The sequence below is a fragment of the Homo sapiens genome, chromosome 6, assembly GCF_000001405.40.
Source record: "Homo sapiens chromosome 6, GRCh38.p14 Primary Assembly".
Classification (NCBI taxonomy): domain Eukaryota; kingdom Metazoa; phylum Chordata; class Mammalia; order Primates; family Hominidae; genus Homo; species Homo sapiens.
In genome coordinates this window covers 126,692,611-126,720,269 of record NC_000006.12, presented here as the reverse complement: position 1 = coordinate 126,720,269, position 27,659 = coordinate 126,692,611, and the positions used below count along the sequence as shown (strand labels likewise).

The 27,659-nt window shown below is 35.5% G+C and overlaps 2 long non-coding RNA genes across 3 annotated transcripts in view, besides 3 other annotated features; one reads left to right on the top strand and one right to left on the bottom strand.

The window, feature by feature from the left end:
- The window catches only part of LOC105377992 (uncharacterized), a 61,454-nt gene that overhangs the window by 1,559 nt on the left and 32,236 nt on the right, over positions 1–27,659 (bottom strand). Inside the window, exons 2-4 of one of the 2 annotated variants that reach the window (XR_001743836.2) lie at positions 27,237–27,273; positions 13,904–14,023; positions 1–109 (exon numbers count right to left, since the gene is read on the bottom strand). This is a non-coding gene — a long non-coding RNA (uncharacterized LOC105377992). Of the gene's footprint in view, positions 2,911–13,903; positions 14,024–27,236; positions 27,274–27,659 lie in introns of those variants that run through there. The other variant, XR_007059742.1, reaches the window with a different exon arrangement.
- Positions 995–1,104: a silencer, noted in NCBI's record as "silent region_17525". NCBI's record gives its function as "represses an Ori minimal core promoter by ATAC-STARR-seq in GM12878 lymphoblastoid cells {active_cell/tissue: GM12878}" and the evidence as "EXISTENCE:reporter gene assay evidence [ECO:0000049][PMID:35858748]".
- Positions 1,185–1,324: an enhancer, noted in NCBI's record as "active region_25038". NCBI's record gives its function as "activates an Ori minimal core promoter by ATAC-STARR-seq in GM12878 lymphoblastoid cells {active_cell/tissue: GM12878}" and the evidence as "EXISTENCE:reporter gene assay evidence [ECO:0000049][PMID:35858748]".
- Positions 1,335–1,414: an enhancer, noted in NCBI's record as "active region_25037". NCBI's record gives its function as "activates an Ori minimal core promoter by ATAC-STARR-seq in GM12878 lymphoblastoid cells {active_cell/tissue: GM12878}" and the evidence as "EXISTENCE:reporter gene assay evidence [ECO:0000049][PMID:35858748]".
- On the top strand, positions 2,860–27,659 carry LOC105377993 (uncharacterized). Its single transcript, XR_001743837.2, has 3 exons — positions 2,860–2,937; positions 18,164–18,326; positions 27,060–27,659. It is a non-coding gene; the product is annotated as an uncharacterized LOC105377993 (long non-coding RNA).

Genomic DNA, 27,659 nt, shown 5'->3' with positions numbered 1-27,659 from the left:
CTCTGATAAGTCATCACACTTCCATTGACTGACGTTGGTCCTCCAAGAAGCCCATGAAATCTATCAGAGGTCTTGTTCTTTCATTGTTTTGTTTTCAGTATCCACAGGCCTTGAAAGATGAAGATAGGGTTATAGGCAGTCACAAGCATGTTGAAGCCTTACTACAGAAAGTAAGGTGAACATCTGAGAAATGGCTCTTACCCTAAAATGATGCTTTCTTGCAAAGAAGAGGCTACACTACATAAGAATTGAATTATACTACATGAGACTTGAGTTTAATTAAATAGTTGCAAGAAATACTTTACAAAACTAACTTTGTCAGTCATTTTTTTTTAAAAAAGAAAACCTGTCCATGTTGTTTTAATAATTTGGTAAAAAAATTCCGTTTGCTTAAACTCTTCCATTTCCCGGTTTGATCACTTTCCATTATTCTATCATGAGAAATATAGAAAGAAAAAATGAAAGCATCCTCTTACCTGGACTTTATAAAACCTAGACATCATATAAAAATAAACATCTGTCTTAAATGGAGAAGAAAAACAAGAATTTGAAATCTTTAAAGAAGCTAAAAATATATTTTTTATTATCATTTAGATTTACAATTGTTAAGATATGAAATATATAAAAATAAGCAATTCAAAGGAAACACAGTTTGTCGAGGTGATTGTTGTTTTGGTTTGATTATTTTGTATATATGAACATGTATACATATATATGCATATATTTTTATTTATTTATTAGAATAAAGCAAAAGGTAGAAAGGCAGAGGTTGTTTGGGAAAAGTACCCCAAAAGAAAACAATTATTTCCAATATATTTTAAGATTGAAGAGAAAGTATTGATTTGAATCATTTTCCCACTGGTTCATGGAAAAAAACAACTCATAAAATGAGTTTGATGGGCACAAAGAATTAACTTTGACCTTTCTTTGGCTTCAGAGGATCCAGGTCAACTTGGAGAGACTGGAAGTGTTATGACACAGGAGAGGCCAATGGGACACAGCCCCACACTCAGAAAACTGCTCCCTCTCACACAGCCAGCCAGCAACAGCCTTTCACAGTGATGTTGCTTCTCTTTCTATGTCAGGGTTAAGGTCATTTTTAGGGCACAGCGAGGAAATGTAGAGGCCCGGGCTGTCTGCACCACATCTGTGCTGTGAGAAACAGGGGGTTTCAGTTTCCAGCCTCTGAATATCACACAACCTAACCTTTACCTGCCTGCCCTCACCCTAGTACACAAAAAGCATAAAAATAAAATTAGACGTTTCAGAGTATGGACTAGCAAGGTCAAAGGTAGACATTCCTGAAACACATTAGGACCTTAGGACCTTCAGAAAAAGGTAACCGATACAGGCAGAGCCTTATTATTCAGCTATGATCATACAGTCTCCTGTTTAGTTATTTTACAGGATAAGAAAGGGTTGGGAGGTGAGTGTGTAGAAACTATATTTCAGTTACTGTTTTGGTACATATGGGGGCAGAAATCTCAGGTTATTTATAAGTATACAGGTTACTGAGGGCTGTATTTGCAAATATAACCAGTTTCTTATCATCTAGAGCTTATTCTTATATTTACTTCATTAATCACCAATCACACTTCTGGAATATAGAACAGAAGCAGTGAAATTGACATTGGAAGGGACATAAAGAGAGGAAGCATTTTACTGTGTGGTTCTGGAGCTAGTGAACTCTTAGAGAATAGGAACCCAATAATCTTACTCATAAGTATAAAAACATCATTAATAAAAGCTAGTATTGACTTAACACTTTTCCTAAGCTGTGAGCTGCCTTTTGCGCTTTCCATGTGGTACTTTGTCAATCCTCATAACATATCTGTGAGCTATTATAATTATTGGCATTTCAATATGATGAGAAAATTGGGACCGTTTCTTCATATTTAATATAATTTTTCTATATTGACCCACAAAGTAGCTGAATATTCCCAATGTGTTCATGGCATTCAAAAACAGCAAGTGCTATTGCCCATTTACAATGAAGGAAACATGTCACTAGTGGTGCTTGTGATGCCCTTGGGTTTCTCTGAGATTGTACAGATGTAAGTTCTTGATTTACTAAGCCATGCTAACTGAGAAATCTTTTAACTGAAAATAGTAATAAAGAAGGGAAAAATAACCTTTAGAAATACGACATAAATTGGTGCAGAAAGTGGTGCAGAACCAGGCTATGGGTAGGACAAGAGACAATTATCAGTGAGGTATGGTTTAAGGGGCAGTGGAAGTTTGCTTACACCAGACATTTACCTCCAGTTCAGGCTTTGCAATTAGACAAAGCTAGAATCAAACACTAATTTTATTATAGCTATTGTGACTGTCTTTGAGCAGAAGTTTAATTCGTCCAAAAGTTGCCGTGAGAATGAAGCTAGGCAATGAATGTCAATACTTTGAATGTGACAAGTCTTCCAATACATTTTGTTTCCTTTGTTCTCCTTTTCTAACTTGTCTTCCTTCCTGTGATTTAAAGTGAGGGTTTAAAATGAGGAATTTTCATATAATGAGTGATAGAAACATATGAAAGTATTAGAACCTGCCCTTGGAAGAACCACTATCTAATGTTATACTTTGTGACCTAGAAAAGGCTTTCAGCTCTTAAACATTTTCCAATCATTTAGATATTTATTCAGGCTAACAAAAATAACAAACTCAGGAATCTATACAAATAATTAGCTTGTCCAAAAATGGCACTACATTTTACATTGTATTAGGAAAGAGAAATTGCAATACCATAATATTGGTCAATGTTATTTATTATCTCTTGGTCTTTTCCTGTTTCTCACCAGGTTCCTATAAAGTTCCTGATAGTTGAAGAAAGTCAGGAGATCTTAGAAACTGACTTTCATTTATAACCTGCTGATTCACCTAGATCAGGTTACTGGGAAGAAATCCAAGTCAGACCTCCTGACCTACTCGAAACAGCATGAGGTATGCCCTGCCACTAAATCCTGATTCCTGTGTACCTCACCCTGTCACTAAATATGATTTAGAGAAACCTTTAGAAATCAGGTAAAAGGATTTAGTGCTTTACATGTAGGTTACAGCTGCTGGACTAGCTTTTATAGTAACGTAAGTAAGTAATTTATTAAATGGCTCAGTCATTAGATATACCAGGCCTTTAAAACATTCTTGTGAGGGAGGCTACTCTGGGGAGTGAGAAGATTAGCATTTCTCAGCAGCAAGTATTTTTGACAAGATTAATGAGGCACAGGGCAGAGGGATCTGTTTCCCCCTTTGTGTCTGCTCTCCTGGTTTCCTTGCCCTTTATTTGGTTGTCTTTTCCTCTGTGGCACCTGCTGTCACCGACATGGATGAGATGCCAAAACAGCATTCCTTTACTTCAACACTCTTCACACCTTCTTCTTCCCCCTTCTTTCTCCCCAGGAGTTATTCCTTTCTCCTCTTCTGGGATTGGCAAGGACATTATTTTAGTTTTCAATAAGAAATGCCTGATAGGCATTTTCACATTAGAAGAAATAAAATTAGGAACAAGATCAGAAACAGTTCTCAGTGATTCCTTTTATAAAAGGAAATCAGTTATATAGGAGATCATTTTAAAAGTACATATCTGTTCTAATACATCTTGTGTGTTCTTTCAGACCCATCACCATCTCTATGGTACCAGTTTTGCCTGTTAACAGGATATAATTTGCTTCATATACTGATCATTTGATAGAATGTGTATGTTCTCATTTTTTTTCTCATGTTCTCAGGAACAAAAGCAGGACAGACACTGCCCTGCTTTTGTAAGCTTACTTTCCTTCAAAAAGAATTATATCGTGCAGACTAATAACAAGTGTACTTTCCTTTAACAAAGTCCCCAACTTCACTTCTGTTTGTTCCTCTTCCAGCTCAATTTCCCCTTGTTGTCTTCCAATAAGTTGCCATCCTTCTTACCCACAAGTCTCCTAAGTATGTCTTTTGGTTTGACAAAACACATTTTTTACATCTTATAAAAGCTAATATAGCAGAATTTCCCATTTGTATTTTTAGCATCTGCCAACAAATGTTTGCGATGATCCCAAGCCCGAGTTATTTTTAGGTCTAAAGTAATGGCAGAGGTATTTAAAAGCTTAACAGATGGTAATATCTGTGGCTACCCAATGGGCATCCCTGGGTTGGATGAGGGCCTGGGAGTCTGGAAAGTTGGGAGATCAGCAAAAGGTACAAAAAATACCAGATTTCAGGAATTAATGAAGGTGCTTCATGTTTATTCCTGTAATTTTCTAATTTTGTAATTTTAAGTTTAAATTCTGGTACTTACTCTATCATTCTTGATTTGGCCATATGACTTAAAATAAGCAATTATGTATAAATGAGAACCATGAATTCCAAGAAATAAGTCATTTGAATTGCAGTAATCGTCCAAAGGAGCCCCAGTTTAATTTCTTAATTATTGGGCTCAGCTATGAACCTCAGTAGAGCATCTGCACATGAGGTCATTCTGGGGGTGTTCAATGAGTGCTTGGCTAAAACAAAAATGGGATTTCAAAATGTTCAAAAAGAAGATTGCTCATATGGTTATATACTCTAGGATAGAAAAAAACATTAGCAGGAAATAAAAATGACATTTTCTCACTTTCAATTATGAATAAGGCCAAGATGTAAAAAATGGGAAGGATTTAAAAGTCACAGTTTTGCAGGTACAATGTAGATTTTAAAAAGCCAGTACTAAAATGAAGTTTTGTAGCTAAATTGTGTATCTTCTCAGAATTTATTTCTTCATCTGTAAATTGTGAAAAATAGTAATAATCATTTTATAAGCCTATTGTAAAGATTGAACGAAATAATGTATCTAAAGCTCTTGAAACAACGATTAATAATTGTTAAATAATTAACTATTGTAATGCACTTAAAAAGCACTGATAACTCTCTCAGGGAATATTTTAAATTAATAAAAATAAGAAACACAGGGAGGGTAAACGGTCACTGACAAATGGAAGAGTGGGACTGGAATCGTGTTGGTAAGGATAAAGCCTGTGATGAGCTAAGAATCTGAAGAATGAAAGTACTTTAAAGTTATTTGGGGTGCAAGAATCAAGACAAGAGAGAAACAGACCAGTTGATTTGCATAGGAGGGTCTGGTGTTCAAGAATATTGTGAGATCACCCAAATCCTTAATTTTTATGTCACTCTCTCTCCCCTGTAAAATAAGGTTATTCTTACACTAGAAAAGGAAAAATAAGCATTTTAAAAAGGAAATAGAAATTCAAGACAGGTTAGAAGATTGGGAAAAAAGCCCCTAGTTGATTATGTAAATAAAATGTCTGGGTCCAGTGAAGCTTCATATTGAAAATTTTAAAATACTGTATGTGTGCCCCATTCTCCTAACACAACTTGCTTTACACACAGCAATGTCTTACACACATACTTTGATTTACCTGAAATGCCTTTCCTTAATTTTTCATGTGAGAAAATGCTATTGTTTAGACATGGATTTCCCAGCTTCCCTCGGCAGATCTAATCACTCCAGGCCACCTCCAGCTTATGCAAGCCTCTTTTTCACATTTGTTAGAATGTATTGCAGTGATAAGATTGTATGTCTCTCAGTCTCCCTGTCCCAGTTGTGACTTCTCAAGACTACAGACTGTAGATCATTTTTGTATTCTGAGATTCTTCCACAGAGTGTGGCCCATGGTTACATTCAATTAATGTTAATTTGACTGAATTTAATTTAAAGGAGAGAAATGGTTGCAGGAGGTTAGAAGTCTTGACATGGGAAGAATTTAGGGAATAAGCGAAATAATAACTACATTCAATAATTGACAGGTATTACATGAAAGAAAAAGTAACTTCAGAGGATAGAACTATGAATAGTGGATCAAAGTTAAAAAGGAAATAGCTTTTGGCCCAGTGTGAGGCTAGACTTCCTTTCAGAGTTGCTCAAAATTGGAAAGGGCTGTCTTGTATGATAGTGACATTTCTGCTAGATTGTATGATTAAGTAGAAACTGAGTAATCTATTGGAGACATAGTGCAGCTAGTTCTTGCAGAAGATTAAGATTCGATTTGAAAATCTGTAAGTTTCCTTAAAACTCTAAGATTCTATGATTATCAATTAATGTATTGGTTTAGAGATTCAGATATTGCGGTAAACTTATTCATTCACAGAATCCAAGTTTATCTCAGCTACCATCTTTCCCAGGTAACAATCTCTTCTACAAGTTTGAGAAATTTGTTTTTCACTGCAGGCCCTGCTTTTATTAATATTTCCCTCCCAATAACATTTCCCACACCACAGGTATATTCCATGGAGACTCAAAAAGTTGGCACCTCTGAAACCTTATTGTGAAGTTTCTCCTGCTTTGCTTTGTAGTCCTAGTTTAGCTGGAAAAAAAAAAAGCAATATGTTTAGAAGACTATTAGTATCAACCTGAATAATCAGAAAGGGGCTCAGCTCTGTAGAAAACAATAATAATAATTAAAGTTTGCTTCTTTAGTGTCTGGAATTCCAACTGGGACAAGCTCAAAGCTTTGGTTTATCATCACAAAAGAGCCACAGAGCCCTCAAGAGCCCTTTCTGAGTTTCCAAAGAAAATCTACCAAGGCAGAAACTCTTTCTTCAAGATTTTTTTTTTAATTAAAAACAAATAAAGGCAAACACAAACACATTCCAATACAGAAGCATATCTGAAGAGCCACAAATCCACAAGGTTTCAAGCCTTTGGCCAGTCCAATCCACTAGTGTAAAATGCTAGACATAATTTCAGCCAGCATGAGGCTCTCTTCTACATTACGACTTACCTTTATTTATGTCCTCAAAGTTTGTATTATATTTTTCTCTCTCTCTAAAATTTTACAGTTTATGTAGCTTCTCATTTGATTTTTAAGTTCACATGCAAATTCTATCTTCAGCTCTAAACTAATAGCACATATGTTTTGTTTATCTGTATGGCGGCAAGACAATTTCATGATCTGCCCACAGCTTACAAACTGATCAGTGGGGTCTGTCTCCATGGTTCCATGACTAATGAACATCTGCAATTGTCAGCTGTACCTCTGTGAGGTTGAGCCGTGACTTGAACTAAAGATACAATGTGAGCAGTCATTTGAACTTCCCTGCCACTTGCTAGGGAAATAAGCAAGAAGGGTAAGGATAATCTGTAGTATTAAGAAAATTTTCCTTTCTATTAGCTTATATATTCCACAGTCTGATGTAATGCTATTATCAATTTTATGCATCTAGTAATAAGACATTATAGTAGTTAATTGATATATATGTGTATATTATATTCCAAGATATCTTCTGTGAGTATTTAAAAACCTTTCAGAATAAGGTTTAAAGTAAATATAGTAATATAACATCATTAATTAATTTTCTTTTCCAAGGCATTATGTATGTCTTTAAAAGAAGTGTTGTCAGAATGCACTAGCCCAAGTCAATTAAGAATATTCATATGCTTCCACCTTAGGAGGCAGTGTTACAGAGTTAATACTCATAATAATAATATCTGACATATATGTAAAGATTTATTGTATATGCTCTATTATGTACCCTTATAAGATACTAACCTATCTACTTTACATGGGAGGTAAGTACTATTTTTATCCCCATTTTACACATAAAGTCACTAAGGTCTCGATAAATTAAGTAATTTGCCTAAGGATAATTGACAAGAACCGGAGGCTAGCTCTTTAGGTACTATTTCCATTTCCAAAACTTCCTAAATGATGAGAGCCATGATTCTGCTTGAGCTGTGCATGGACTTCTACCAATGGCTGGGCTTAAGGTATATTTGTCAAGCTGATGATACAGGCCTGATGGAAATATATTTGTACCCTCTGGGAAAAAATTCATATTCCATCTATTGCTCTAGTTCAGACACACTGGCAGGTAGTACTGGTGAGTGGTTTTACCAAAGTCTTTAAACACGAGGTACTGAATAAGTTCCCTGGAAAGGATTTCCCCTTGGGGAGAGCAGGCTAAGCCTGGTGAACTTGACACAGTTACTCATTTCAACCACAGTAGGAGAGTAAACATGTGAGTCTACCACAGAGGCTGTATTTGAACCCAAATGAAAGACATGAGCCTGAAATAAGGCTGCTTTGGGCCATCTTGGAAAGAAACAAGAAGAAGAGAGGGCAGTTTTCCCAACTTGACATTGGTGGATGCCAATGAGGGGCCAGCAGGAAACTGCAGCATCTGTGAGAACAGACAGGAGCAGCCCTCTCATGGTAGTGGGAGTGGAACCTGGACAATAATTCTCAGGCTTGGTGTGCAGCACCAAAGATTCAATGGGGATGGCATCGTTAAATACATCCCAGGGCCTCCAAGAAATACTTGAGGGGTGGGACTTTGATAGGATGTGAAGGTTCTGCTCAATTAGGTCAGGGGAAAGTTGGGAATCCTGTCTAAAAGGAGTTCAGGAAACACACTGGATAGTAATTGTTCAGGAATGACCATGGAAAGACTTTGGAGTTTAACTTTTAATAAATTAAAGCAAATTTAAGAAAATCTGGAACAAAAAATGGAGTATGCAAATGATCTCAAAATAAAGGATGTTCCTTTAAAGTAGAAATTTGGCTTGTGAAAAACTCACTCCTTACATTTTCATTTTACTGGAGGCTGGAGAACATCTCATCACAGGCTGCACAGGTCTGCAGAGAGGTATTTGGAAACAACAATATGATGGCAGCTCTGTTGGATCATCTGGTCCACTACTTCTAAGGTTCAAAACTCATTATTTCCAATGCCAAGGGGTTAACAGACCTTGAGAGAATGACCCATGTTAGCTTTAATACACATAAAACTGTGGCTGATATCAAAATGCCAACTTATTCTTTTAAAATAAGAAATACATAGAAGAATTGGAATATCCATGTTGGCAGGAATCTTATATTTTCTCCCTGTGGTTCAACTACTTGGAAGTGTATCAATCACATTGCTTTCCGCCATAAGATTTTTTCCCTAATATTTATGAAAAGCTTACAATTTATAAAAATTCTTAGTTCTTTACTTTGTATTAACACTTTTAGTTTATATGACAAACATAAGGAAAATGAGGCACAACAATATTAAATTCCCCCACATTCATGCATTGAGGATTTGGCAAAGCCAGGATTCACAATAAGACAGTTGGTTCTTGAGCCCATGCTCTTAACTCAATACTATACTGCCTTAAACTGAGATAGTTCAAACCTAAGTCTTAATTCATGTTTTATGCTTTAGCATAGAGGTAGAGCAAGTCCAGAGCTAATTAATTCAGGGGATGATAGTGTCATCAAGGCCACAGTTTCTTTCTCTCTCTTCTCTCTCTCTCTCTCTCTCTCTCTGTCTCTCTCTGCCTGATACTCAGCTAGCTCCCCTTGTGGGGTCATTGCAGAACTCTGAAGTATCATACAGAAGACAAAGCCTTTAAGAAGTAGAAGGCATGCTTTCATTTGCACCAAATGAAGGGATGAGGAATCTTTCCTGCGATCCACCAGTTAACTGCCTTTATATCTCACAGGTTAGAACTGTTTCTGGCCTAGACAAGTTGCTGGCACAGAAAATGGGAATCATTGATCAGTGTAGACAAATAAGGATTCACCCCTGCTTGGAGGCTGCTTCCAGCCTCTAAGAAGCCTATGATCACAAGAAAGAGAATAGATGCCTGAGTAAATCTGGGGTACTCTTAGGAATGTAATCAAACAAAAATAACTAAACCAGGAAGCTAAATAGTAATCAGACACAGTTTTACTGAATTTCCAGAAGCAACTTTTGTTACAGGGACAAGAAAGGTTTAATGGCAGTATAACATTCTTGCACACCTTTATTAGACACACTTGCTTGGTGAGCATGGACATAAGCAAGCAGAATTAGACAAATCTATTGTTTAATGGCTTCACAATAAGGATGGTATTGGCAGTGTGATCTGAAACCCACTGATTACAACTTCCCATATTTATTTGCACTCTAGCAATATCTCTGTCATTAGAAATTGAAATATTCCAGGTTGGACGAACAATTTCCCTTTCCTTGGATTATCTTTGGATAGATGTTGCCAACAGATACATTTGATACTCATCTCTTCTCTGTGTGTCTAGGAGTGACAAATTCCTCTTTCTGAGAGTCTCAGTCTTTGACAAGATACATGAGCATTTTCAAATGGGTTACCAGGAACTCATTTCAGCTGACACACCTCACCTATATTCACCTGATTTTATAGTTTAACTCAGATGCATTTCTAAAAATTTAATTCCAAACTCTTGGAGATCTTTTAATTAAATCCCAAAGTTTTATAGTAGTAGACAATAAGGAACTATTGTAGGCACTTACAGGAATTATTATAGTTATGATTATGGCAGACACAAATTGATAAGATGAGTGAGAAAAGAGAAAAGTCAGGTAGAAGTCTCGTATAAATCAGGCTATAATCTGATGAGAGGTGTCATGGTTAGTATTGAGTGTCAACTTGATTGGATTGAAGGATGCCAAGTATTGTTCCTGGGTGTGTCTGTGAGGGTGTTGCCAAAGGAGATTAACATTTTAGTCAGTGGACTGGGGAAGGCAGACCCACTCTCAATCAGGATAGGCACAATCTAATCGGCTGCCAGCATGGCTAGAATAAAAGCCAGCAGAAGAACATGGAAAGACTAGACTGGTTTAGTCTTCTGGCCTACATCTTTGTTCTGTGCTGGGTGCTTCCTGCCCTCAAACATCGAACTCCAAGTTCTTTAGCTTTGGCACTCGGACTGCCTTCCTTGCTCCTCAGCTTGCAGATGGCCTATTTTGGGACCTCACCTTGTGGTCATGTGAATCAATGCTCCTTTAATGGCAGTATAACATTTTGCACACCTTTATTAGACACACTTGCTTGGTGAGCATGGATATGAGCAAGCAGAATTAGACAAATCTATTGTTTAATGGCTTCACAGTAAGGATGTACACACAATATGGTGTAAAAGATAAATTTACAGTAAAGATAAGTAGTCACTGGTGCTCTTTTGTTAGGACCCGAAATACCAGAAAAGAAAATAGGCAAGCAAATATGTACCTTCCAAGTGCCCAAGTTAGTATAAAACTGACTAATAATATATATAGATATGATGACTTCCTGAAAGCTCTGTAATATCAGGCATCCTCTAAGCCTGTAGGAGTATTACCCTAGGCTTCTTGAATGAATATACATATTTCAGGACAATCAGCAATATCCAGGTCTAAGTGAGGCCTGCAGAGAACAGAAAACATTTCTTCTTTGCTAAACCAAACTATAGATTCCAGAATATTGCTTCCCATTTAATGGTTATAAAGTTCAAAAGTTAAACTGCAAAAATGGAAATTCACTACTTATTTCAGAGTTATCATAACAGCTGGATGTTACAACAGAACCAAAGAACAGTGTTGAATGCTGGCATAACCCAAACACTGGCAAGGAATCATTCTAAATATGAGATCCTAGTTTCTATTTCTTTTACGATGAAGCTTAATTTGCTTTCTAATTTGTCACAGTTTTTTAAGATCCTTCAGTAGGGAGGAGAGGTTCTATTCTGATGTCCTTTGTATCAAATGCCTAGTGATCTGGCCCACTGTATGAAAATTAAAGAAATGCTGACAGTCATGAGGAAATTTTATTTCTTTTAAAATATATTTTTCTCTCACATAAAAGTTCTGAAGCTATAAGATAAAAAAATAAAAAGTAATAACTAGCATTTATTGACCACCTACATTATACCAGATTATATAAAATCTCAAACTCTCACAACTGTAACATTACGAGGTAGAATTAACATCCCCTTACAGTGTGCCAGGTACGATGCTTGCCCCAATTCACTCAGCTATTCAAGGACAGAGTCAGATCTGTCTAATTCCAAATCCCATGTCCTTTCTACTCTAGCATGTTAAACTAAAATGCTATCTTTTAAAAAATATAAAGTGACACAATAGACTGAGTAGATTAACAAAAGACATACTACTTAAAAAGATGATATTCTCACAAAATCACATGCAAACAATGTCTCATATCTCATACATTTATTTTACTTTTCTGCTAGCCAACACTACAATCCTTCGGATCAGGAGATTTGGCTGCACTACAGAGTATACACTGAAAGTCAAGCAACACCAAGGCACCATTAAGATCATTATTCTTGTGGATTTCTTTTCCTCCCACAGGGACAGGCATATCAATTTTTCTATATGTTTTGAAGAGCTTAGCCACATGATTTTAATTATTTCTCCCAGGTGGCTCTTAGAACTTGCATGGTGGCCCTATATGTTATCCAACCAAGGACAGGTCCCAATGAGGCCTGATGAATGAGTGGGAGACCAAAATCAGAGATTTGAAATTCTCTTCCCTGAGGAGCAATAGTTTTACCTAATATTGCTTGGGGATCATAGGGAATCTGAATATTGGAAAACAATGTAACTTAAGGTTTTGAGCTAGACCACAATTTGAGATCATCTAGTATTTTTAGCTATTTTTACAAATGTTCTGGTTTGGGTAAAACCTAAATTATGTTTTTCTAGGTATCTTTCCCTTCAATTTTTAAATATTTATATATTTTAATGGAAATTTAATCCTCTTGATATTAATTTATTTATGGTTAACTCATCAAAGTGTATTCAAAAACCTATTTCCCAGTTGGCTTTACAATAATTTTTACCAACTGTAGAATGAGTACAAATACACAAACACACACACACACACACACACACGTTCTCTTGCCAGGAAACAAAAGGAAAATACAACACACCAAAAAGTTCAGGTTAGGTTCAAATCTCAAAAGCCACAGGATCCAGTGAATTCTAAACTTGGGTGATGGTTTCTTTCATCCAGGAATCTGTCCCACATGTCACTGAGTGGTGCAACCGCATCAACCACAAGTTTAAGCTAGTTCTCTTGTACTTTTTAATTGACTTCATCCCCCAAATTTTCAAAATGTAGACTGAATTGAACTTTTCTAAAATATTGCAATTAAAAGGCATTTTTCACCTGACTATTGGTATGGAAGACAATGTCAATCATCTTTCCCTTGGTAAAGAAATCTCTCTTTCTTCCTTTTCACTTCCAGGTGATAGACTATGCAGTGAGTGATGCCATGGAATGACATTCTCTTATTTTTTCTAATATATCTTCCTGTCAGTATACATCAAGAATCTTTAATCATTATATATAATTCATCAAATATCTATATAGCCCTTTCTATTAGTGAAGTGCTTATTTTAACAAAAATATATCCATATATTTGTTGAATATCCATATATTTGTTGAATATATATGTTGCATATATATATATATGTTGAATATATATATATATAGAGAGAGAGAGAGAGAGAGAGAGAGAGTTAACTATGCCCTAGTCTTCTGTCAGGCAAGTTAATTCACTGAATAATGTAAAAGTGATAATAAAAAATATAATAAGAAAGAGTTGAATATTTATGATATTCATAATGCTGTATCACTATCCATAACCACAACAGACATTCTTAATCAATCTGATACATTTCCTGTGGACCTCATGCATGACTATTGAATTTTTTTTCAACTGAGTGTTCCATAAAGTTTCCATCAAACCACTAGAGATGGTATTGTATATATAACCTATATTATATCTTTGTACCATATGAAATTATTCTACCTGAGTGATATTCAACTCTTGTGTGTATTGTTGGAGTGCAGTAGTCAGATGCATATGAGATTATTTGTACTCCCTGGACTTCACCACCTCATGCCTCTGCAATCCTTCTTAGTGCATGTTTCCTTAAGGTTGTTGTTGTCAATGCCTACCAGTGTTTTGTTTGGCTGTTTCTATTTCTCTTTCTTAAACTAGGAGACGCAAAAACAAAACAATAACCTACTCAATAAAGTGAAAGTTTAAGTCTGTCATATTTCCTGAAATAATGAAAATCATAGGTGAATATGGTGTATTGAAAAGACTAAGGCATAAAGAGGCAGGAGACAAGGATCACTTACCCCTAATTCTTCTCCTGATACCAGCTGTTTGACCTTGGTTTAACTACTCATTCATTTATAAATCTATTCTGAAGCAATCATTATGTCCCAGGCACTCTTCAAAGGTTATGGTTGACTCATCTGAAAAATGAGGAGAATACACTTCTTTTCACCTTCAGATGTAGACAGGACTAGGACCATTATGGTAGTTTTGATTATTGGTCTTTTGGGTTTGGTGAGGAATGAATGTTTTGCACTGGTATAGAACCAGTAAGTAGGTAATTAGTGTCCATTTTGCTCCTAGGCATATTTTCTAGGAATTACCCAAGAAAGCATTTTGACCACTAGAACATCAAGTTCCTACTTTTTCTTCTTTCTTCTTTCAAGTACCTCTTCTCCCATTTGGACTCATTTTTCTTCTCTTGCCATAATTTTGACCAAATTTTGGAAACATTATGTCATCTCCAATTTTTTCTCATTTTTCCTCACCTCTAATTTCTAAATTATTCATCGTCTTTATTCTTTGAATTATCAAATTCTATTAGCTAGTTAGGTTTGTATTGGATTATATTATACCTTTCAGGCTGCCAATTATCTGAAGAAAGCAAACAAAATATATGGCCCACAAGGCAAAATGTCAATAAATTAATAGCTACAAAAATAAAAATACCCTATAACCTCTTGTCAAACACAATATTAAATATTAGTTACAGAAATTCTATGATTAATAAAATTAATGAAATTACATTTTAGAATATCTGAGATAGAAAAAGTGGTTAAGTGCTTTCTTAAATAAGAAAAAAATTTAAAAAAATTAGTGAAATAAAACAGAAAAGTAACAGAAACTGTAGCCTTAAAAAGGTTGAAGGAGAAAAATAGGGTAAATTGAAAAACAGTAACTAGTGAATTAGACTAAAAAATAGGTTATCTCCTCAGTCTTCTTCATTTCTGCTCATTATACTTCTTCGTGGTGGAAAAATTTAGAAGGGCCATAACTTGCTATATATAGTTTTCAACGTGGGAAACAATAAATATACAAAAGGATTAAAACTTTGAAATATACGTAATCATTTTTTACTCTCTTAATTTTATAATTTAACTCATCTCTGCTCATCTCTGTTAGTTGTCTATTAAATGTTTTCAGTGACAAAAAATACTCATTTTCTCCAATATATACTGCTTAGTTCTTATTTTTATTTACCACATATGCCAAAGAAATAAAGACCATACAAAACAACAACACTCTCTTCCCATCGTCTTTTTTACTGGGTCTGTTCTCATGAGCTCTTAATCTCTTCTAGCCGCCATGTTCTGTCTGTAATGGTCACATTAGAATTCAGAACCAGCTCAGAATTCAGGATTCTGGGCAATAGCTGGAAATACACACTCCCCCAACTCCAGCAGGTTCAGTTAGAAGAGCTCACAACCTGTTGTCCTGTCAATTCTACAATTGCCCTCTATAGGAAGAGAAGTGCCTGGGTCAGAAAAAAAGAGTATTAAAAAAACTGCATTTTGCCAGGTGCAGTGGCTCACGCCTGTAATCCCAGCACTTTGGGAGGCCGAGGTGGGCGGATCACCTGAGGTCAGGAGTTCGAGACCAGCCTGGCCAATGTGGTAAAACCCCGTCTCTACTAAAAATTAAAAAAAAAGAAAAAAAAAATTAGCCAGGCGAGGTGGCGGGCGCCTGTAATCCCAGCTACTCAGGAGGTTGAGGCAAGAGAATCGCTTGAACCTGGGAGGCAGAGGTTGTAGTGAGTTGAGATCGTGCCATTGCACTCCAGCCTGGGTGACAAAAGCAAAACTCTATCTCAAAAAAAAAAACACAAAAAAACCTGCATTTTATATTTTGAATTAAAACAAAATATAAATCACCAGAAAGAGGATAGATAATAGAAACAGATTTTTGAAATTTAGTTATATGAGTCTACCTTTTATTTATTTCTCTTTTCTATCTACATTAATTAGAACAATTTCAATTGATGTTTATAATAGTAAATAATTTGTACCACAAATTGCAAAACTAAGAAAGTATAAAAGTAATCACATAGATTCCAAATTTCTAATCCTTTCTGCATATTTGTCATTTCCTATCTTGAGAACTACAAGTTATGCCCCTTTGTATTCTCAGTACCAAGATAGAAATAAAAAGAGCAAAAATGAAGCCAGCTGAGAGCACTGGCAGCATAAGTTCCCAGCACATGGGTTAATACTGGAGTCCCAGAAAGGCCAAAATACAACATTCATCAATAACTAAGGCCAAAATACAATACTCATCAATAACTTCAGACCCTAAGTAGCCATGGAGAAAGAGGTGGGAGCATCTACTTCCCCCTTCAAATCTTTAAAGTGGCATTTTTATCATTTTTTTTTAATTGACACAATGGTTGTTAGGATAAGGATTGAAAGATATTAGAAGAAGCAGTAAGGAAAGCAGGATCAACACGTTCAACAATTGATGGAAAACCAAAGAACACATAGCTGGTAGACAAAGAGAAGTGGTTGTTTTGTTGCTTGCTTCCCAACCAAAACATTTTGGAATAACCTGAGGTTTTATCCTAACTATGTTAGAGTCAAGCAATTTCTGACACTAAATCTAGGTAAAGCCCATCCTAGGAGTCAGAGCTTAGTTGGAAATTGGAGATTAGAACTAACGGGAAAAAAATAGAGAAGCTAATGGAAATAGGGAAAATATGTAGGAGTTATGAAAGTATTTGCAAATACAAAATCAATTATGTCAGGATATTTATTAAAGACCTATGGCCCAATAAATTCTGCTTAGTAGGCTTGAACCATCATCTGTCACTACAATATCCAAAAAGGTATAATGTCAATTAACAAACCAGACTGTTGATTGACATTATTATTCAAAAATAGAAAATGGCCAGGCATGGTGGCTCAAGCCAGTAATCACAGCACTTTGGGAGGCAGAGGCAGGCAGATCACTTGAGGCCAGGAGTTCGAGACCAGCCTGGCCAACATAGTGAAACCCCATCTATACTACAAATACAAAAAATTAGCCCAGTGTGGTGGCACATGCCTGTAATCTCAGCTACTCAGGTGGCTGAGGCACTAGAATCGCTTGAAACCAGGAGGAGGAGGCTGCAGTTAGCCATGACGGTGCCACTGCATTCCAGCCTGGACAATACGGCAAATCTCTCTATCTCAAAAAAAAAAAGGAAATAATTTTTCCTTAATTTTACATTTTTATTATGTACAATTAGATACGAAAGAATGTAGGGAATGTAAGAGTTATAAAGTATATTATAAAATAATCACTTGTGAACATACTCCACGTAAGACATAGAAAATTCCAATACCATTAAGCATACTAATATGCACCTTCACTATTGAATCTCCTGACTTTCCCCAAACTAGCATAACTAACCAAGATTCTGAATATATTTCTCTATTTTTGTATTTTATTGTTTTGTCACGTGTATAGACTAATGAAGCCCTTGTTTTGAACTTCATAAAAATTATACATTCTATGTAGTGTTCTAGAAGTTGATTTTCATTCACATTATATGTAAAAGTTTATCCATATTATTGCGAGTAGCTGTACTCTACTTTTACTATTGTGTAATATACTAAGTGTGAATCGTTCACAATTTATTTCTCTATTTTTTTATGATGAACATTGGGTTAATATCTTTTTTTTCATATAAACAAAAGAACTGTGGAGATGAATGGAACTTTCTAAGAAAATCCAGAAGTCCTCCAGTTTGACCTCCCAATTGATACAAAAATTCCTTTGACAGCTTGCTACAGATGGCTTTCCAACATCTTCAAAAACACTCTATAATGATGTTCAATTTGAACCCTAGAACCGTATTTGAAAGATACTTTTAGAAAATATTTAAGTCATGTTATTTTTCCTGGTAAATTTATTGATGTAATCCAATTTTCCAAAATAAGTGAAAACACAACTGAACATTTGCCTGAATCTTCGATATTACAATAATGATGACACCATATAGATATTGTGCCAACACAGTATATCATTTAAGAAACAGCACAACTGATTCTCATTAAAAAATTGGAAGATGTTTCACAATTCTTAAAGTTATGTTCCAAATCAATCAGCATATGAACAATACACTTGGGACCAAAAAAGCTTTAGGCTTAACCCTTCTTAGAGAACACTACAATAAGACCATGAGAAATATCGATTTTAATAATCCTTAATTTGGAAATGAGTTGATACATTTTATATTAGTCAAGAAGGCATATAAATTCCTAATGAGGAATGGCATCTGTTTATTTAATATTCTGCATGAACAGGAATTTTGGAAATACATCTGGTGCTTCCAGTGACTGTATAATAATCAATGTATCCTGACTCTAAAGAAAAGCAGAAGTGAAACTGAAAGTACAGACTACAAGGTGGAATATGATCCCTCTACTATCAACTAAAAGTCTTAGACTTGCTACCCTTCTGAAAATGGTATGTTTGGAGAGCACTGTAGAATATGTGTGATGCTCAACTGAATTCCATCTGCTTGCCCATATTTGTTAGCCTCCTTGCAGTTCAACACTAGCATGTTACTAGTTTTGGCTGGTAAAATAAGATCATTTCCAGATTGAGGAGGTAGAAATTACACCCACGATTCTCTTATATCTCTTTCCCAACTATCAAAGATGCTGCATGTTTCAGAGGGTGCTGCGCTAAAATGGTGGAGATGCTATCATCCAGGAATATGGACTGAAACTATGCAGACTAGAGTTCAGTCTGTGTGAGCATATGATAAGGAAATGAAGTTTAAGATTAATTTGTTATAATAGCAAAATCTAGCATTCTGATTAACACTGAGCAACTGCTGGATGCAATGTTATTATATTTAATAAATTATTTTTTTCAAAATTTGTGATGTAGCCCATAATGAGAAAAATACTTGAATTTTTTGCCTTTAATTCTTTTTTTTCAAGGTGGATGTAATTCTACAATAAATAAAGGGACTGAATTCTAATTTATGAGCTTTACTTCAACCAGCACTTACTCAGTTTGTTATATTCAGCAAAATAGATACAATTATTATTTAAGTATTATTAACTCAGTGGGGCGCAAAAGACTCAGCTACATAGCCTGATGATCAAGTCAAGACAGAATAGGGGTCCTTGGGTGGAATGAGCCCTTGCAGTGCTCAGAGAAACTGCGAGACATTATTTTTCTTTGCTAGCTACCCTGGATTCTGCCCTGATGGTTCCTATCCTTTTAACCTCTGTGGCCTCCAACCTGACACCTCTGTCTGCAGCCTTCATCTCCACTTCTTCCCCAGGTCTGACTACTTGTGTCCTCCCAAAATTCATTTGCTAAAACCTAATCACCAGTGTGATGGTATCAGGAGGTAGAGTATTTGGGTGGTGATTATCATGGCTCTGCCCTCATGAATGGAATTACTGCCCTTATAATGGAGTCTCTAGAGAGCTGCCTTACCCTCTCTAGATGTAAGGATTCAGTTTAAAGGTACCATCTATGAACAAGGAAACCAGCCCTCACCAGACACCAAATCTGCCAGCACCTTGATCTTGGACTTTTCCAGCCTCCAGACTCAGAGAAATATATTTCTGTTATTTATAAGCCACCAGCCTACAGTATTTTGTTATAGCAGCCCAAACAGACTAAGATACCCGGCTACTATGGATTTTGCCACAATCATTGTAATAAAGCCCAAAAAGAACAATGCACACCTGTTACTGTATACAATTTCCTTCCTATAAAAATCTCTGGAAAGATAAAAGGAATCTGGAATAGTGTTATGGTACTCAAAAAACAGAGACCAATGTCATGTTTAAGGTTAGTAACTCAAATCAGAATACAAGTAAGTGGAAATTAGCAAGTATCAAGTACAGCCATTCAATATGTATTAATTGGGCAGCCACAATATGTTAAACACTATACTAAGCACTGGATGTAGAGTGATAAACAATATCAATATGGTCTGCTGTCCCAGATGGGTTCATAACCTAGTGGGCACAAAACGAACCAGATATAAAGAGAAGAGTAGGAAATTAAGCAACATGATGTTCATCTGTCATTCAGGGTACATTTTTATATTAATAGAAACAAATCTTATCACTCTGCTGTCTAAAATCTTTTGATGGCTTCTTATTATACTAAAAGAAAAGTTGAATTACCTTATCATGTCCTATAAGTCACTTTGTGATTGGGATCCTACCTATTTAACCTCTAATCATCAGTTTCTTTGTCTGTAAAGTGCTTATAATAACATTTACTTCATATAATTGTTGTGGGAATTAAGTGAGATAGTTTGCAAAGCACTTAATTTGCACTGTATCTGGCAATAGAAAGTCCACAATAAACACTAGTCAATAATATTGCTGTTGTTATCTCTTCTGCATTATCTCATGCTTTTTTCATTTTCTCTCATTTTCCTTCACCCACATTGGCCCCTGAAAACTCTTAGAATACATCAAGTTCTTGTCTGCTTATGGATTTTGAACCTTTTTTTCTAATTCTCCCTTGGCCTGACAGGCTTCTCATCTGTCACATCTCAGCCTTAAATTGTCATTTTCAGACTTGTTTTAAAAGTCCCTCTTACAGCTGCTTGTCTCTCTCATAGTACCCTTTTTGTTCCTTTCATTGAATGTTTAACTATCTGAAATTATTTTGTTAATATGTGGGTTTGCTTAACTTATTGCATGGCTGGCCCAGTAGAATTAGACTCCAAGGGGCAGAGAGTATCCGCCCTGGTTTGTCCATTGCTGTATCTAATATCCAGTCTTATTAGAGCAATGCCTTGAAGGTAGAAGTGCTTTAAAAAAAATTTACCAAATGACCCAAAAATGCACAAAGAAATCAGACATTGCAATTAGAATAAAGGTTAGGAAAATATTTTTAAAAGAATAGAATTCAAAAAAAAAAGTACACAAATAGGTAGAACAATCTCAAAGTACTGATTTTCTTGCTAAAGAATTGGTCAAGAAGTAATCAAGTGGATTAAACAAGGGTATTGGTACTTCTGCCCTCACTTGGACAAAAACTCACCCACAACATGAAGGTTCTGATTTTGGAGGTCAAATCATTAATATAATCAAACACTTAGAATTATCTATTATAGGGTAGTATAGTAGTTGCTGAGACTATGAAGATGAGTGAGAAACCACAGAGGACTCTGATATAAATGAAAAGAAAATTACTTATTTAAAAAATCGTTAAAAGGTGTTAAACTATAATCTTCTCTTAGGCAGTAAAGTACCTAAGGAGTGTTAAGGAGCTTACAAAGTAAAGGATTTGGCTTTTGCACCAACACTGAGTTGATGACAGACTTGAGCAGGACTTCATACAAGGACATAGAAAAGATAAGATACAAGATATGATATAAGACTTCATACAAGGACGTAGAGAAAAGGTTGGGAGAAGAGTGTGAGCACACTGGGGCACCTGTGTGCTAGTAAAGAAATTAACCACCAATCTATCTAGCACTTAAGCTACACTGATAAAGCACTTCCTGTTAGAGAGGAAGCATCAAAAACCAATAGGACACATTAGCTAGGATCACATAGTAGAGTTGACAGTGCCCCACATCGGGTATTTTACTGAGTATATGCCATGTGCAATATTCTATGATTAAAGTTATTTCATTTGTATAATGTGCCATAATTTATGAAGAGTTTTCAAATAAGTTATCTTAACTAACTCTCATAATAAATCATTTAAGAAGGTCGTCATTTTGTAGGTAAAAAAACTTGTCATTTTTCAAGGTCAACAGTTAGTAAATTATAGATGTATGAGAGTGTTATTGAATATTAGACTCTTGTACAGCGCTTTTTTTATTGTCCCATCTCTGCCTCCCAGTAGCCACAAATATTTATGTCACTTCAAATACAAGTACCACTCTTTAGAATGAATCTATTAGTCATAGTATCACATGATTTAAGTATGTATTTTCAAACCAGTTAAAGCTGCCATTGTAGCAAAAATATTGCCTTAAAATTATACCAATTGTCGTAATTTAAAAGAAGAATTTAAAAAAACTTATTTAACCTCTGTAGAAATGTTTGTATCGAAGTTGAAATGGTAGAAACCAGAACTTTCAGTTTTCACTAATTAAAATAAGTGTGAAGGTATGAATGTTAAGTAAAAACCATGAATGTAATGAGGACAAATAATTCAGAACATTCATGTTATAAGAGTTAGCTTATAAGAAAATAATTTTATGTCACAAGTATAGCGATATAATATAAAGGTATTATGTTAGTTGGATACTTTTGTTTGAACAGCTTAAGAGCTTAAAACTTCGCTGTTTAGTTATTATAATCTACGATATTTACATATTGAATTTTACCAAACTTTTCACTTGTACTAATCTTAAGGGACATATTTAATCAATATGCTATTACTTGATATTTGTATAACTACTATAAATAAGATATCATTATTTTATATAAAAACCTGTACAATCAAGTCATTTGTAACATTTAAAATATATCAAATAGCAAATTCTGTCAGTCATTATATGAAAATACACAATAATCACAAATAGATACTGCTTTAACTGAAAGGGAGCTAACACTAATATTTATGTTGCTGGTGACATTTACTCTAAAAGTTTTTATAGTATCTTTTCCCCAAAATTGAAAAAAAACTAAAAAATTGACACATGCAACTTCTTTACTGAATATTATTTTAATACTAATGAGAAAATTTTCTTTGTGCACAAACACTTTTCTTTAGGGTACATTTAAAAAAATCAACCTGAAGAATTCTGTATCTGTTTCACTGGCGATGACAAGTATGTTAATTGCTTGCAGATAACATCTGTTCTAGTGAAATCAAGATGCAGAGTCTGGGTTGGATCTGTGGTGCTAGCAGCTTTCTAAAGCTTTGTCTGGGAGACCCACTGCATGCATTTCACAGACACTCCAGGCAGCTGGAGGGCTTTTTAGTTTTTCTGACAACCATCCAGCAACTGAAATAAAATCTGCCAGGAATCCTGGGTCATTGAAATGTCTCCCTTTGAGCAGTGGACTCACCTTTGAAGCTTCAAGATATCCACTGACCATGACGCCTGAGCGTGCTCTGGCTAAAGCAAGTTCAGGGTGAGCTGCCAACTGCCTGCATGCAAGAGCAAGTCTCTGACTTCCTTCTCTGTTTACAGAGGAGGGTGAAGGGCCTCTCTAGAAGGGATAGCAATAGCCTGGTCAATATAATGTCAGATATAAAGAGCCCTTATGCTCAACAGGCCACATTTACAATTTTACAGGGTTCATGGACTGCAATTGCTTGCCAGATGTGCCTATGGAGTTGCGTAACCATGGCATCATGATTGCTCTGGTCTCGATTCTTTGGGGGCTCTGTATAATTGCATCTCCTTTAAGCTATGATTTGTATAGACTCTGATGTACTGTTCCTAGTAGAGCCAACCCCACTCCTCTGTGGAATACATAGCTGTGTGGCCTTTTGTTCTGCTGTAGAAATGTGGAGCAAGGCCTGGAGTGGTGCTTTTTAGTATTTGTAGACCCAGCTGACTATGTCAACCAAAGTTGTGAGCATAGGGATCTCACTAGCTCTGCAGATAGGCTTAAGGTGATGTAGCTCAAAAAATTAAAAAATATATCTGTATTTGTCACAGGTTATACACTTGAGAAAAAAGAGACAAGAGAGATGGATGAAAAAATTGAAAAAGGAAACCATATGAGACACATGAGGGAGAGGTGAGAGTAAGATGTGAAATCTCAAGGATAAGAAAAGTGGATATAGTGAGAATAGAACTATTAAATAATATAACACATCTGTATTGTAGTATATAAATTGATTTAAACCATTTAACTCTAAAATCTAGATCCTTATTGCCAATATGAGTGTTTCATATATTTCTGCCATTTTTAACACATCTTGTTTGTATAAGAGCTAATGATACAATATCTTAAAATAAATACAAGCTGATCTTATAATACAGAAGAAATAAGCTCTTTTTGGTATTTCATCTGAGGACTCTTCCTATGTAATAAGTAATATTACAGTAGATACAGATAATATTCTTCTCTTCCTATCAATCACTGTCTCAGTCAACTTGGGGTACTGTAACAAAATATCATGGACTAGGTGACTTAAATGACAAAATTTTATTTTTCATAGTTCTAGAGGCTGGGAATTCCAAAATCAAGGTGCTGGCCACTTTAGTTCCTGGTGAGAGCTCTCTTCCTGGCTTGCAGAAGGCTGTCTTCTTGCTGTGTCCACACATTGTGGAAACAGGAAGTTCTGGTGGGTTTCTTCCTCTTCCTATAAAGGCACTAATCTCATCATGGGGACTTTACGCTCACAACATCATCTAAGCCTGATTACTTCCCCCAAGGCCATACCTCCTAACACTACCACACTTGGGGTTAGGGCTTCAACATATGAATTTGTGGGAAACACAAACATTTAGTCTATAATAATAACCTTTTTTTTTTTTGACATTTTACTACTTATTCAGAAAGAAAGCACAGGAATAATTTTATAGAAATTGAAAATGGGCCACATTTATGAAATAGTTCATGTAAGAATAATTAGCTAATAATACAAGATACTTTCTTTATATATGGATACAGTCACCCTTGTTTTTCCTATCATCATATATGAGTAAAAGTTTAGAGCTTATATATTTGTCAATTAGAGAATGATTTTAAAGAAAGAACTGCCAAAAATTTCAGACTAGAAAGCTAAATTGATGAATGAAGCCAAAAAATAGTAAATGTTGACAGTATAATCATTGAAATGATCAAGAAGGGTAGGGGTACTTTTAATTTAAATCCAGTCTATAATCTGGTTTTTAAAATCATTTGGGCCAAGAGATCTTTTTTGATAATTAGATTACTGTTTTCAGCTCCTTAAATTCAACCAAATGAAATTACTTTTAATAAATCATTTATTTCAGACTTTAAAAATTAACAATACCATTTTGAAAAGATACATTTTCATTTTAAAGACAGTACATACCAAATATAATTTGTTTCTTTAAAAAAATGCTGTAACCTTGTCCTCTAGAATTAGGTAGGTTAGCAGGTCTCACCATGCATGTTAACCCTGTCGAAGTAGCTACTATTTCTCCTTTGTAAAATGTATCCCTCTTCTTGGTAATTATGTGTTTGATGAGTACTTTCCTAGTAGACATTGAGTCCTATAAGGACAGTGGCTTTACTTTTCAGAGGATCCCTACTTCCTGGTATAAAGTAGACACTCAGCTACAATTTGATGAGGAAGAGAAAGGACGGGAGAAAGGAAAGGATGGAGGAAAGACAAAGAAGAGAGAGAAGAATAGAGTGACCATGATATCACCTTTGAATATTGCTATTAAATCAGTCTGATCTCAGGGATGCTCAATCATCCATCAAGAGAAGGAAAGGAAAGAAATGCCATTTTCTCATAAAATCTGATGTGGAAGGCTATGTATTAAGACAAGAGAGGAAAAAAAGATTCAGGGCATAACATAAAACTGGGAAAAAGAAACCCATGCTGAAATGTTTTAAAGGAAAAAAAATGAAGCTCAAAGCAGGTTAAACACAAGGGTAGGCATGATATATTAATAGTTTGGATATATGTCCCCAAAAATCTCATGTTGAATTGTAATCCCCAGCGTTGGAGGTGGGGCCTGGTTGGAGGTGCTTAGGTCATGGGGACAGGTTTCTTTTGGCTTGGTGCTATTCTATTGGATAGTGAGTGAGCATGAGAGTGAATTCTCATGAAATCTGGTCGTTAAAAAATCTGTGGCCCCTCTCCCCTCCACTCTCTCTCTTGCTCCTGTTCCCGCCATGTGAGATGCCTGCTCCCCCTTCGTCTTTAGCCATGATTATAAGCTCCTTGAGGTCCTCACTGGAAGCAAATGCTGGCATCACACTTCTTGTACTGTCTGCAGAACTGTGAGCCAATTAAACCTCTTTTTTCTGTAAATTACCCAGTCTCAGTCATTTTGTTATAGCAATGCAACAACAAAATTACACTGATAATACAAGGCATATTTGTGTATTACCATAAAGATAAAGCTGAATGTAGAAAAATAGTAAACTAAAGAATTCCTTAGATCAATCATTCTTTAGGTGTGGTCAGTAGACCAGTGCTGGCCCAAAAACAGTTTTTACCTGTTCATAATAAGATAAGCACAGAACTTGAGAGTAAGCAGTGAGAAATGTTTATAAAATTTGATAAAATAATTTTGTGTCCATTGAAAATAATGAAGATAGATTTGGGCTTGTGCCTGTACAGTTTAATTTGATTATTTGGTAACTAAGTTATATTTTTATAAAGTAAAATTATTAATTAAAAAGATAAAAAATAAAATGAAAAATGTAAAAAGGTTTAAAGGTTTAATAACTGCATTCAACAAAGGCAGTCTGAGAAGTACTGCCTTAGACAATGTATTGGCAGCAGTGCATGGTTTCATGGCTTCTCCCCATCTCTTGTGGTTGGATAATTCTACTTGTTTTAAAGCAAATACACACAAATACCCCCTGCAAGCTTTTGCACAATGGAAAAATAATCTTAAACATACCAACTGGGAATTATTTTAAAGAGTTTTCTAATTTGTGATGTGTGACAATATATGAAACCTCAAGTAGAATAAATACAGAGGTTTTTGGTTTGGTTTCAATGCATAAAGCTAGAGCACTGTCACCACGTGGGTTCAAAGCTCTTTTCTGCTCGATTGTTTCTGTAAATGTTTACATAGACGTAGACCACTTTTCAAGCATTTGCAAATGGCGGTTTGCTATAATATAGATTCAGAAATCTTCCTTTCAGAAAATCTTGGGAGCAGAAATGTTGAGCTTTAAAAAATTTAAAGTCCTTCTCCAATTTTCCCCTTCTGTAACAGCATTCCATATTAAAAGTTCAGTTACACCTCATCTTTTTAAAAAACCTGTTAAACCATATGTCAGACAAGTGAAAATATATTAGGAATAACATAATCAACATTAACTTATGCAACATTGAGCTTAATCAAGTAAACATTACAAACAGAATTGAAGACTTTGCCCTGATCATGTTATCTCTTATTTCCTTTACGTAGAGGTGAATGCTGGTTTTGTCCATTTCTTTGTTAGTTTTAATAAAGAAGGTGATCTCATGTCCTTCTGGTGTTAATGTGATGGAATGTGGAAAAAATTCTAACCCTCTGCAGATACTAAACTATCAGGCTCATGTTGCTGAATAGCAGGTAACTTTTTTTTTAACTACCAGGTTCTGAAGGGGCCCAGGAAGAAACCTCCTCTTCCCCAGCTGAGTTGAGAACCAAGTGGAAGACAAAGAAGTTAGACAGCAGATGAAAAAGTGACCTGCCTTGCACCTTGCCAGTTGGCTTGCTAGCTCTCCCCTGATTTGAACTTCTGACAACAGAACATGCTCCACCAAACTTACCATGTGAAGGACAGCACATGGGCATTCTTTCTGAGACCTGCAAAGAAAACAAAGGGAGAGGCTAAGCAGACAAAGGAAAACTCTTTCTTCTCAAATCAATCAGATAATGAACTCCTGTTCCCTTTAGGAGAAATGAGTGGGTGGGGAGAGAAAAGCAAGCAGTTGACCTCTGGAGGTCCTTAGACTTAAAAACATAAAGCCCAAGGAAGAAAATTCCTCCCCAGCATTAACTTGGACCAGTAATGTTTTTCTATTTATATTCCATATGTAAATATGCCTGTGAGGTATTATGTATTGTCTTTGTGCCTTTAAGTGCATTTCTTTAAAAAATCTGTAACTTTAAACTTAAATAGAAAGGCACAAAATGGATTGTTATTTTATACAATGGAGTTCTGATATTAATTATTGTTACTTCTCACAAAA